This window comes from Homo sapiens, chromosome 10 (genome assembly GCF_000001405.40).
Source record: "Homo sapiens chromosome 10, GRCh38.p14 Primary Assembly".
NCBI classification, from domain to species: Eukaryota; Metazoa; Chordata; class Mammalia; order Primates; family Hominidae; genus Homo; species Homo sapiens.
This window is the reverse complement of record NC_000010.11, coordinates 119,077,104-119,089,938: the sequence shown is the minus strand read 5'-3', so window position 1 is coordinate 119,089,938 and position 12,835 is coordinate 119,077,104. Positions and strand designations below refer to the sequence as shown.

Sequence of the window (12,835 nt, the reverse complement as noted above, 5' to 3'; positions counted from 1 at the left end):
AGAAGGGTGCTAGGAAGTATGGGTGCAAGGGATGTTATTATGACTTTAATGAGGTGAGGGAAGGTTATCATGGCTGAAAAGGTGACACTGGGGGTAGTGGAGAAGAACTGTGTAGGGCTTTGCAGGCCATTTTAAGGACGTTAGCTTTCACTGAGTTGGTGAACCACAAGAGGGTCTTGATCAGGGGACTGATAATTTCACTTTTGTTTTAAAAGGATTCCTCTGCTCACTATTAGGAGAGTAAAGTGAAGGTTTCCAAAGGTGGAAACTCACAGACAAGTTAGCAGGTTATTCAATACTCCAGTTGAGAAATGGTGGTGACTTGGACCAGGTGGTAGCCATGGAGGTGGTAGATATAGGATTCGTTGATGGGTTGATTGGATGTGGGGAGGTAACAAAAAAAGAGGATTCAAGGATGTTTCCAACATTTTTTGATCTGAGCAACTGGAAGAACCAGGTTGCCATTATTAACATGGGAAAGATGACAGGAGAAGATTGGAGGTAGAGGAGACCAGGTGTTTGGCAGGTTGAATGTGTGTAGTACATTGAACATTTAATAGATTTGCCAAACAGGCATCTGAATGTGAGAGGTCGGGCTTTCAGGAGAGAGGTCTAGGGCGGGTGATACAATTTTGTAACTTATAAGCCTAGAGATGATTTCTTTGTTTTTTGTTTTTGTTTTTGTTTTTTTTTTTTGAGATGGAGTCTTGCTCTTTCGCCCAGGCCGGAGTGCAGTGGCGCTATCTCAGCTCACGGCAAGCTCCACCTCCCGGGCTCATGCCATTCTCCTGCCTCAGCCTCCCGAGTAGCTGGGACTACAGGCGCCCGCCACAGCGCCTGGCTAATTTTTTGTATTTTTAGTAGAGACGGGGTTTCACCGTGTTAGCCAGGATTGTCTCGATCTCCTGACCTCATGATCCACCTGCCTTGGCCTCCCAAAGTGCTGGGATTACAGGCGTGAGCCACCGCGCCCGGCCTGAGATGATTTCTTTCTTTTCTTTTTTTTTTTTGAGACAGGGTCTTGCTCTGTTGCCCAGGCTGGAGTGCAGTGGCTCGATCTCGACTCACTGCAACTTCTGCCTCCTAGGTTCAAGTGATTCTCCTGCCTCAGCCTCCTGAGTAGCTGGGATTACAGGTGCGTGCCACCATGCCCAGCTAATTTTTGTATTTTTAGTAGAGACGGGGTTTCCATGTTGGTCAGGCTGGTCTCGAACTCCTGACCTCGTGATCTGCTCGCCTCTGCCTCCCAAAGTGCTGGGATTACAGGTGTGAGCCACCGCGCCCAGCTGAGATGATTTCTTTATTGAGATGAAGTCTTGCTCTGTTGCCCAGGTTGGAGGGCAGTGGCGTAATCTTGGCTCACTGCAACCTCTGCCTCCTGGGTTCAAGCGATTCTCCTGCCTCAGCCTCCCAAGTGGCTGGGATTACAGGCATACACCACCACGCTCGGCTAATTTTTGTATTTTTAGTAGAGACAAGGTTTTGCCATGTTGGCCGGGCTGGTCTCAAACTCCTGACTTCAGGTGATCTTCCTACCTCGGCCTCCCAAAGTGCTAGGATTACAGGCATGAGCCACTGTGCCCAGCCCTAGAGATTCTTTCTTTTCTTTTTTTCTGAGACGGAGTCTTGCTCTGTCGCCAGGCTGGAGTGCAATGGCGCAACCTGGGCTTACTGCAAACTCCGCCTCCTGGGTTCAAGCGATTTTCCTTTCTCAGCCTCTGGAGCAGCTGGGATTACAGGCATGCGCCACCACGCCCAGCTAATTTTTGTATTTTTAGTAGAGACAGGGTTTCGCCATGTTGCCCAGGCTGGTCTCGAACTCCTGACCTCATGTGATCCGCCCACCTCAGCCTCCCAAAGTGCTGGGATTACAGGCATGAGCCACCGCGCCCGGACCTAGAGATGATTCCTAAAGCTATAAGCTAGAACCAACTAATGAGCATAGTTAGAGAAAGGATGAGGTCCAGGGGCTGAGCCCTGGGATATTTCAACCTCAGAGGTCACAGAGATGAGACAGCAGCAAAGAGTAGTTAGCAAAGCAAGGAGAACATCAGGAAAGGCTGAGTGGTGGCCAAGTGAAGGAAGTATTTCAAGGACATGAAGGGGTCACCCCTGCATGTGAGAGATGGAATCAAATGCATTGGTGTATAGGGGTTGGCTTGAGATAGGAGCCCCAGACTACAGAGTGGGAGGAGGGAGAGAAGGCAGAGCATCTGAGCACAGCTGCAGGTGTGAGTTGGGGGAGAGATGGCACGGTGCCAAAGTTCTCTTCTAGCTGCCCCACTGTTTTCAGTGCTATGGGAAAGCAGGACCTGGCTGAGAGTAAAGTAGAGCAAGGAGCATTAGAGGATTGGAGAGAGAGGAAAAAGTATGAAACAATCATCTGGGAGAATGGGATAGGGCCGAGAGAAGTTTAATAGGATGGCTGGGCAGCAACAACGTGCTTGTTGAGGCCTGTGGTCTTGAATTTAAGGTGAGACCTGTCAACGTGCTTATACATTCTTCTGTGGCCACATTAGGCTGCAGGCAAGGTGTAGGTGGAGGGTTGGATTTGACCAGGGTTGGGATTTGCTGAGTAGAATAAAAGGAGAAGTGAGGAAGAAAAGAACAAAACTGTAGAATCTGAGTGGGAAAAGGGGGAAATAGAGGCCATGGGAAATGAGGGGTAGTGAAAAGGAAGCAGAATTGATAAAGGGATTGTAGGTCCTGGTAAACAGAAGGGTCATTAGAGTTGGAGCACAATAGAGTTAACAATAGGAGGTGGTGGCTGAAAAGTGAATCTTGAAATTGAGATTTTGAGAACTAAGATTTTTTTTTTTTTTTTAGATTGAGTTTCGTTCTTGTCGCCCAGTCTGGGCAGTGGTGCGATCTTGGCTCACTGCAACCTCCACCTCCCGGGTTCAGGCGATTCTCCTGCCTCAGCCTCCTGAGTAGCCGGGACTACAGGTGCCTGCCACCATGCCTAGCTAATTTTTTTCTATTTTTAGTAGAGACGAGGTTTTGCCATGTTGGGCAGGCTGGTCTTGAATTCCTGACCTCATGTGATCTGCCTGCCTTGGCCTCCCAAAGTGCTGGGATTACAGGCGTGAGCCACCTCGCCCCGCCAGGAACTAAGATCTTTATTATTTTATTTTATTTTTGTTGAGATGGAGTCTTGCTCTGCCATCCAGGCTGGACTGCAGTGGTGTAACCTTGGCTCACTGCAACCTCTGCTTCCCAGGTTCAAGCAATTCTTCTGCTTCAGCCTCCGGGGTAGCTGGGAATTACAGGCATGTGCCACCATGCCCAGCAAATCTTTGTATTTTTAGTAGAGATGGGGTTTCACCATGTTGTTTGCATTTTTATTTTTGAGACAGTCTCGCTCTGTTGCCCAGGCTGGAGTGCAGTGGTGCGATCTTGGCTCACTGCAACCTCTGCCTCTCGGGTTCAAGCAATTCTCCTGCCTCAGCCTCTGGAGTAGCTGGGATTACAGGTGTGCACCCCACCATGCCTGGTTAATTTTTGTATTTTTAGTGGAGATGGGGTTTCACCATGTTGGCCAGGCTGGTCTCGAACTCCTGATTTCAAGTGATCCACCCGCCTTGGCCTCCCAAAGTGCTGGGATTACAGGTATGAGCCACTGTGCTCATACACAGTGGTATTTAGGTCTGCAAACTATGGCCTGTGGGCCAAATTTGGTCTACTGCCTGTTGTTTTTCAGCCTTGAGCTAAGAATAATCTTTGCATTTTAAAATATATGGCTGGGGGCGGTGGCTCACGCCTATAATCCCAGCACTTTGGGAGGCCAAGGCGGGTGGATTACCTGAGGTCAGAAGTTCAAGGCCAGCCTGACCAACATGGTGAAACCCCCATCTCTACTAAAAATACAAAAATTAGCTGGGCGTGGGGTGCATGCCTGTAGTCCTACCTACTCGGAAGGCTGAGGCAGGAGAATCAATTGAACCCAAGAGGCAGGGTTGGCAGTGAGCCAAGATCGTGCCACTGCACTCCAGCCTGGGCAACAGAGCAAGACTCTGTCTCAAAAAAAAAAAAAAAGATACACGCACACACACACACACACACACACACACACACACAGAGAGAGAGAGAGAGAGAGAGAGAGAGACTATTATCCCTTCAGCAAGCACAGTTGCTCAAAAAGTTGAAGACATTGCCTCTTGGCTCACAAAATCTAAAATATGTACCATCTGGCCTTTCACAGAAAAAGTTTGCTGACCTCTGGTCTAGACTCTAGGGTATGACCATGTGTGTGAGTGGCTGAGGTAAGGCAGAGGATCCAACTGTGAAGGTCAGGTCACAGGTGGTCACTGATGCCACCTCCAGGAGTCAGTGGCTCAAGGAAGGAATACAGCTGCCTGTGAGGGTTGCAGGGGTAGCAGAGTGCTCAAGAATGGGCGATGATGGAGTTAACGGTTGCATGAGCCAAGAGCACAAACAAAGGGGCAGTTCAGTCACCCCCTGGCTGTCAGGAAAAGCTTTGCAGAGGAAGCCTTTGAGCTGAGGCTTGAAGTACTGGCAGCAGATAGTGGGGTGAAGGTGGGTGGGATGGGGAGGAGGAAAGGGGTATTTAGGTATAGGAAAGCCAGTATCTTTTTTTTTTTTTTTTTTTTTTTGGAGACAGAGTCTTGCTCTGTCGCCAGGCTGGAGTGCAGTGGTGCAATGTCAACTCAGTGCAACCTCCGTCTCCCGGGTTCAAGTGATTCTCCTGCCTCAGCCTCCCAAGTGGCTGGTACTACAGGCGCCTGCCACCACCCCGGCTAATTTTTCTATTTTTTTAGTAGAGACAAGGTTACCATGTTGGCCAGGTTGGTCTCGAACTCCTGACCTCAGGTGATCCACCGCCTTGCCCTCTCAAAGTGTTAGGATTACAGGCGTGAGCCGCCACGCCCGGCTTACTGTGCCTGGTACATGAAATGCACTTGATAATGGTTTGTTGAAGGAATGTATTACTGTGAACCTTAGTTAACCTCTTTGAAATTCATTATGCTCATGGGGTACAAATACCTTCATTACGCAAACTTGTAAATAAAACTAGAAATGTGAAAACACTTTGTAAATTGTAAAACATGCTACGTGTTTTAAAGCTGTATGATACTATGTTGCAAATATGTATAATGTACTACCTCCCTTGTGCTCCTAACAATTGTCTTTCTGGGAATCATGTTTACTCCACTCAAGTCAGAAAAAAACCCTAAAACATCATATTAATGATCCAGTCATATGTAATACAAAAGTAAGTTGATTAGTTAGAAAAAACCCTGAGCCTGATTACTTCCTCTTACCATTTCCCAAAGTGGTTTCTATCATCTTCAGGTTGCCTGTTTTCTACTAAGTAAGCATTAATCGACAACAAATAATTACCCTTTTCTCCTGGCCCAGATTAAATCCTATCTTGTCGCTCGTTATGTATTCATTTATTTTCACCAGTAAATCATTAACTCCTGGAAAGCAGGCATCTTGATCTTTTTATCTTCCGCATCCAATGGCTGTTAGCTGGTACTGAATATTTGTTGGTAGATTTTTTTTAAAAATTTATTTTTATTTTTATTTTTTTGAGACAGCGTCTCACTCCGTGGCCCAGGCTGGAGTGCAGTGGCTCCATCTCGGCTCACTGCAACCTCCACCTCCTGGGTTCAAGCAATTCTCCTGCCTCAGCCTCCTGAGTAGCTGGGACTACAGGTGAGCACCACCACGCCCGGCTAGTTTTTTTTTTTTTGGTTTTTCATTTTTGCATTTTTAGTAGAGACAAAGTTTCACCAGGTTGACCAGGCTGGTCTCGAATTCCAGAACTCAGGCAATCCACCTGCCTTGGCCTCCCAAAGTGCTGGGATTACAGGCGGGAGCCACTGCGCCTGGCCACCTTCGTTGAATAGGTAAATTTATCCTGGAAATTGATGTTACACCTTTATTCATTCCCAAAATGCCACTAGACCGTACATAATTTTATTTAAATACACATATATGATCATTTGTTATATTACTAAATGCTTTATATACTTTAAATAATTTGAAAGGCAAAAGGATCAATATGTAGGGATATTGGATTTCATTTTATCTCCCAAGTTTCTTTCTTTCTTTTTTTTTTTATACAGAGTCTCGCTCTGTCGCCCAGGCTGCAGTGCAGTGGTGTGGTATCGGCTCACTGCAACCTCCACCTCTCGGGTTCAAGTGATTCTCCTGCCTCAGCCTCCCAAGTAGCTGGGACTACAGGGGCCTGCCACCACAATCGGCTAATTTTTGTATTTTCAGTAGAGACAGGGTTTCACCATATTGGCCAGGCTGGTCTCAAACTCCTGACCTTGTGATCCGCCTGCCTTGGCCTCCCAAAGTGCTGGGGTTACAGGCGTGAGCCACTGCGCCCCACCTATCTCCCAAGTTTCTAGTGTTTGTGTTGTTGTAGGCATACCAAATAATGAGTAATAACGAATGAGGCCATTTTACTATTTTTTTTTTTTTGAGATGGAGTCTCGCTCTGTTGCCCAGGCTGGAGTGCAGTGGCACAATCTTGGCTCATGCAACCTCCACCTCCAGGGTTCAAGTGATTCTCCTGCCTTGGCCTCCCAAGGAGCTGGGATTATGGGCACGTGCCACCATGCCCAGCTAATTTTTGTATTTTTAGTTTCACCATGTTGGCCAAGCTGGTCTCGAACTCCTGACTTTGTGATTCGCCCGCCTCGGCTTCCCAAAGTGTTGGATTACAGGCGTGAGCCATCATGCCGGCCCATTTTACTATTTTCTTTGAGAAATGATAACGTAAAGTTATGAATGTCAGCAAGCTTTTTTTCTGATTTTTTAGGTCAACTTTATTTTGTTTGCATCTCTAAATAGTTCTCTGTCTACATCTCGTAAAAGAAGTATGTGCTCATATGTTTCACTCTTTAATTTTGACTTAATTATTAGATACACAAACAAGTCTCTTGATCCTGCCCATAAAACAGTTCCTATAGCTTCTCAGTACTTGTTTTTATATCAACCCTGCCCAGCTCTTATTTTTTTGTTGAGTAAGCTCAGACACATAGAATGGTCTAAGCGTTCTGGAGGATGAGCTCTCTGAAATTAATTTTAAAATAAACTTCTTTAGAATTTGTGATTTTTTGGGTCCATGTCTATACTTCCCAAATCTTCTTTCTTTATAGTGATCAATTTAGATAAATAGAAAAACCTCTCCTGTAGTAGAACAGTTCATGTTGAAAAATAAAAAAACAAAACAAAACCATCTTTGTGGAGGCAGAAGTAATGAGGGGGAAATGCTTTTTGTGTGTATATCCTGTGGTTTTCTCATTCTTTTTTTTTTTTTTTCTTTTTTTGAGACGGAGTCTCCCTCTGTCGCCCAGGCTGGAGTGCAGTGGCCTGATCTTGGCTCACTGCAACTTTTGCCTCCCGGGTTCAAGCGATTCTCCTGTCTCAGCCTCCCGAGTAGCTGGGATTACAGGCGCCCACCACAGCGCCCGGCTAATTTTTTTTTTTTTTGAGACGGAGTCTCGCCCTGTCACCCAGGCTGGAGCGCAGTGGCACGATCTAGGCTCACTGCAACCTCTGCCTCCCGGGTTCAAGCGATTCTCCTGTCTCAGCCTCCCGAGTAGCTGGGATTACAGGCGTTCGCCACCACGTCCAGCTAATTTTTTGTAACTTTAGTAGAGACGGGGGGGGGGGTTTCACCACTTTGGTCAGGCTGGTCTCGAACTCCTGACCTCGTGATCCGCCCGCCTCGGCCTCCCAAAGCGCCTGGATTACAGGCGTGAGCCACCACGCCAGGCCTAAGTTTTGTATTTTTAGTAGAGACGGGGTTTCGCCATGTTGGCCAAGCTGGTCTCGAACTCCTGACCTCAGGTGATCCACCCGCCCCAGCCACCCAAAGTGCTGGGATTACAGGCGCGACCCACCATGCCCGGCCGATTTCCTCATTCATTAATTCACATATCTCGTCTATTAAATGTGTAATACATTGACAATAATCTATTTCACTGCTGCCTTCTAAATTTTCCTTCTGGGCTGGGCGCGGTGGCTCACGCCTGTAATCCCAGCACTTTGGGAGGCCGAGGAGGGCGGATCACGAGGTCAGGAGATCGAGACCACGGCGAAACCCCGTCTCTACTAAAAATACAAAACATTAGCTGGGCGCAGTGGCGGGCGCCTGTAGTCCCAGCTACTCGGGAGGCTGAGGCAGGAGAATGGCGTGAATCCAGAAGGCGGAGCTTGCAGTGAGCCGAGATCGTGCCACTGCACTCCAGCCTGGGCGACAAAGCGAGACTCCGTTTCAAAAAAAAAAAAAATTTTTTTCCTTCTGAGCTCACCTTTATTTCGTACCAAGGGCTTGAGAATTAGATTCGGTTCAAATGGTTTTCAAATTCTAGGTAAAGTACTTCGTCTGCGAACATTAAAATTGTTAAGCAACAATAAAAGGGCCTCTCAGATTGATTTTTTTCACTAACACTAATTTTTCTTAATTTGTTTGTGACGTGCGCTGTATGTAAAAAGTGACGACACTCCTTTCCGTGTGTTTTCAAACACCAAGCAAGTCTGCTGTGCTCCAGGGCGTTTCGCCCTTTGCCAGGTCGCTGTCCCCATTCGCCCCCTCTGAGAGCCTCCATTTCTCAAGGCAATCCCTGTGACACAAACTTTTTACTTTACCAAGATATAAAAGAACCTTGCTTGTTTATTTTAGGCGTCACTCTTCCCCATGATTGTCTCTCACGGTTGAGCGGCGCTGACCTGATGACACCTGCTCACTGCGTTTTCGTTAAACTCAGCATTTTCACGTAGCCAAGACAGGCGATTCCCAGGCTGGATGGGACCTTACTGTAACTGCACGACTCCGCACAAGTCGCTTTGAAAACCAATCTGCAGACGTTTGCTTGTTCTCCAGACAGAAACTCTGACCCCACACTCACCCTTCCCACCCTAATTCTCGCTCGAAGATTGAAGAGCCTGTGAACTGTCTCCCTAACGCTATCCAGGACAGGCCCAAGACGGGAACTGGACCTTGCGCGCCTAGGACTCCGGCGCCGCCACGTCTGTCGGCGTGCGTGACGCCAGCGCGCTTGCGCGCACGGAGACCCGCCCCCTACATCCGGGGCCTGGGCGGCAGCAGGGCCGCCGCGGGGAGGTCACGTGGCTCCTTCCTTTCCGTCTCTGGCCGGCTGGGCGCGGGCGACTGCTGGCGAGGCGCGTGGGACCTTACGCTGGTTCCCCTTCGTCTCCTCTCCCGGCCCGGGCCACTAGAGAGTTCGCTGACGCCGGGTGAGCTGAGCCTGCCGCCAAGATGCCGGCCTATTTTCAGAGGCCGGAAAATGCCCTCAAACGCGCCAACGGTGAGTAGCTGATCGGGGCGCGCCGGGCTGGGGCGGCCCGAGGCCTCCGAGGTCGAGAGCGCGGGCCTGCTTCCCACTGCTCCGCCGCCCGGCCCGCGCGGGGAGAGGAGACCGATGCGGCCTGCCCGCCGCTGTCCCAGCCGGTGGTTGGGCATGGGTTTCCTTCTCACTCTATCGACTGGGGTCTGGGAGGCGCGTAGCCCGGAACCGTCGCCCCAGGGGCCTTTCCTTCCCCCTGCCGCCTCCGGGTGCGTCGCGGGGACCGCAGCCCGGGAGACAGCCCCTACCCGGACTGGAGCTCCCTCCTTGCTGCCTGCGTCCTCTGGCTCTCCAGGTCCCTGGGGCTTTGGTCTGCTTAGGGCCCGCGTCCCCGGCCGCCATCTGGGAGTGCCGGGGAGTAAGAAACATGGCTCCCTCCCGGGGACAATGCACGCGAGAGCCTCGGCTCCACCTCCTGCCCGGGCCGGGAGCCCTACGGACCCACCCCCGGCCTTCCCGCAGCCACCCCCGCTCTCCAAGCCGCGCTCAGTGCTTTGCTGGGTCGGCGTCCACTTACCCTTTACCCAGCTGCTTTATATCCACTTAGGGGCCTCTGACCCATTTAACCTGATTCCTGTTGTTTTGTTTTGTTTTTGTTTTTTCATTTTTCCTGGCATTGATTAGAAGCAGTCCTAAAGCCTGTTTCGAATCACTGGAAGTTGGAATAGAGTTAATGTAAAGGGACTTCAGGTCGCCTCTTAAAGATAACGAAACAGGCCTAGAGAGAGGTTTCCCCAAGGTCACTCCGGGAGTTGTTGAGCCAAGAGACTTAAAACCAACGTCTCTTGACATCCAGATCAGTCCTTTTTTCTCTTTTTTTCTGCCACAGTGCTGCTGTCTGCGATTTCTATTTCTATATGTGTACTTCAGCCATTGGCGCTTGAGGGAAAAACTTGTGTGCCCCGATCTCTCCAAGGCATTTATTACATTGGCGTTCTGGGGATGCACATGTTCTTGGCTAGGCTCTGGGCTTAAGAAACTTTGTGTAGGGTTTTTTTTTTCCCCTCTAACCGGACAATTTTTCTAATCGTTAGGGCATGGATAGCTCTTATTTTCATCCTTCCTTCACCGAAATAGAAGTTTCGGGTTTTACCCATGTTGTAGATGAATATACCTTGTGAGTTACAGTTTTATGTTTGGAGAGCTTATTTTGTTAGCTTCTTTGAAAATTCATCTTATGAAAATGGCAGTTTGAGTCAGCACATAAACTGATAATTTGGCAGAACCAGAGATATGTTGGTCATATACTTTTTAAAGTAAAAGTAACACTTTTTGTCGGGGAGGGAACTGGTCTGTGGAATAGGATAATTCCACATTGTGTGGAATGGAGTAATTGTTTTAAAAACCTATTGAAACTACAACATAGATGTGAGCACTAATTCATTCTAATGATAACCAGTGATCTAATGGTTAGAACAGACAAGCAGTTTTAGGATGTTTATTAATACATCGGAAAGAAGAGATTGAAATGGAACTTTGTCACTATAAACCAAACTGTAGCAAAGTTTATGACTTTTCGTCGTTTCGAAAGTTAGAATTTGTAGTATACAAAATGATTTGCATGAAATTACTACTCTGCATGGCTGTTGTCGATGTTTTACAGTCATTTGCATGCTTTGCCCAACAGGTATTTTTTTTTCCCCGTGCTAGTAGGCCAAAGCATTATAATGGCCTACATATTATATATTTGGTGTGTTCGGGTCTTGTTTCCTTTATCGCTTCTCTTTTTGGAACCTTCATAAGAACTTCATATAGAAAAGATATGTAATGTGCATCAAACATTTTTTTCCTGTTTCTAAATTGACACAGGCTTGATTCATGAAGGGCAGGTTAAGGAAAGGATCTGAAATTAAAGTAGGCAAGATGAGGGACACTGGGGGGGAAACTTGAGTTTTGTTTGTGTAGCTTTTTAAAAAAGACTGTGGTCCCTTGCAGCCCTTTGAAGCTGTTGGATGGGGATGCATGCGTTCCCTTCAGAGTAGAAACTCATACCTTTGGATTGTGAGGGATCCCTTCTCAAAGTGAGCAGATCGTGGATGGTCCAGGGCACTGCTTCCAAAACATAAGTGAAGGATCAAAGGGCATTCCCCTAATTGGAAATAATCTCATTTTATCTAAATGTTTTACATGTAATATTTGTGATCCTAACAATATTTAGACCTAATTTATTGCATTGTCTTAATAAAATGTAAATAAATTTAAGTAGAATAGTCGTTCAGGTCACCCTAAGCATATATATGAGCAATTTTTGGGGGAAAAATTATAGTAGTCATTCAGGAAGGTGAGAACTTGGACCAGCAGTTACAGGCAAGAATTTCGTATCCTGTAATCATTTGGAGAAGGCCCCTTTTTCATATTATATCATTAGTGGTGCCACACTAACTGCTGCTGACCTTATTATAGTTTATGTTCTACAACCAGTGCCTTTGAAAAATAAAGCTATTAAGGCCACAAATTGAGTAACATAGCATATCCATTTGGTCTGTTGCACAAATAAACTAGCAAACATCAAGGGCTGATGTAAACTTCTTTATACATACTTTCAGTAATGAATTTGAAAGGTATGCTCCAAATGCTCACCCATCCAGTAAGGTTTATAATTCTAGATTTTAATTTTTATTTCTATAATATTAATCTGGAAGTCAATATTTAAGTATTGAAATAGAACCTTTAGTTTATCATAGTTCTTTCCAGTCTCAAAAGCTTCCCCCGGCCACTATTAAATAATTCAGAGGAGGCCGGGCGTGGTGGCTCATGCCTGTAATCCCAGCACTTTGGGAGGCCGAAGCGGGTGGATCACAAGGTCAGGAGATCAAGACCATCCTCACTAACACAGTGAAACCGTCTCTAGTAAAAATACAAAAATATTAGCCTGGTGTGGTGGCGGGCACCTGTAGTCCCAGCTACTCAGGAAGCTGAGGCAGGAGAATGGCATGAACCCAGGAGGTGGAGCTTGCAGTGAGCTGAGATTGCGCCACTGCACTCCAGCGTGGGTGACAGAGCGAGACTCCTTCTCCAAAAAAAAAAAAAAATTCGGAGGAACTAAATTCTTGTATATAAATTAGGACAAAGGCAGAAGACTCACTGTCATGGATTATGAAAAATCTGTTCCCATTCCAACTATTTATTTATTTATTTGAGACAGAATCTCTCTCTGTTGGCCAGGCTGGAGTGCAGTGGCACTATCTCGGCCCACTGCAACCTCCGCCTCCCAGGCTCAAGCGATTCTCCTGCCTCAGCCTCCCAAGTAGCTGGGATTACAGGTGTGTCCCACCATGCCCAGCTAATTTTTTAATTTTTTTCACCATATTTCCCAGGCTGATCTTGAACCCTTGGCCTCAAGTGATCTGCTCGCCTTAGCCTCCCAAAGTGCTGGGATTACAGGCGTGAGCCACCGCGCCTGGCTAAGGAATCAACTTCTAATTGGCTGTTCAGGAAGTGAAAAATGGTTTCAGTTCCATCTTTAAGCAAGCCCTTTTTAGATT

The 12,835-nt window shown here is 47.3% G+C and overlaps 1 protein-coding gene across 1 annotated transcript in view, besides 3 other annotated features; it reads left to right on the top strand.

Annotated features, from left to right (window-relative positions):
- Window positions 8,630–9,392: an enhancer, noted in NCBI's record as "NANOG-H3K27ac-H3K4me1 hESC enhancer chr10:120840059-120840821 (GRCh37/hg19 assembly coordinates)". NCBI's record gives its function as "activates a minimal SCP1, AML or CMV promoter by ChIP-STARR-seq in primed H9 embryonic stem cells {active_cell/tissue: H9 hESC(primed)}" and the evidence as "EXISTENCE:reporter gene assay evidence [ECO:0000049][PMID:30033119]".
- Window positions 8,908–9,202: an enhancer, noted in NCBI's record as "tiled region #2008; HepG2 Activating DNase matched - State 1:Tss, and K562 Activating DNase unmatched - State 1:Tss". NCBI's record gives its function as "activates a minimal TATA promoter and a strong SV40 promoter by Sharpr-MPRA in HepG2 and K562 cells {active_cell/tissue: HepG2 | K562}" and the evidence as "EXISTENCE:reporter gene assay evidence [ECO:0000049][PMID:27701403]".
- Window positions 9,122–12,835, top strand: part of EIF3A (eukaryotic translation initiation factor 3 subunit A) — a 47,148-nt gene continuing 43,434 nt past the window's right edge. Inside the window, exon 1 of the mRNA NM_003750.4 lies at window positions 9,122–9,311. Coding sequence (NP_003741.1) covers window positions 9,263–9,311 — 49 coding nt within the window. The 5' untranslated portion in view covers window positions 9,122–9,262. The remainder of the gene's footprint in view (window positions 9,312–12,835) is intronic.
- Window positions 9,398–9,657: a silencer, noted in NCBI's record as "silent region_2867". NCBI's record gives its function as "represses an Ori minimal core promoter by ATAC-STARR-seq in GM12878 lymphoblastoid cells {active_cell/tissue: GM12878}" and the evidence as "EXISTENCE:reporter gene assay evidence [ECO:0000049][PMID:35858748]".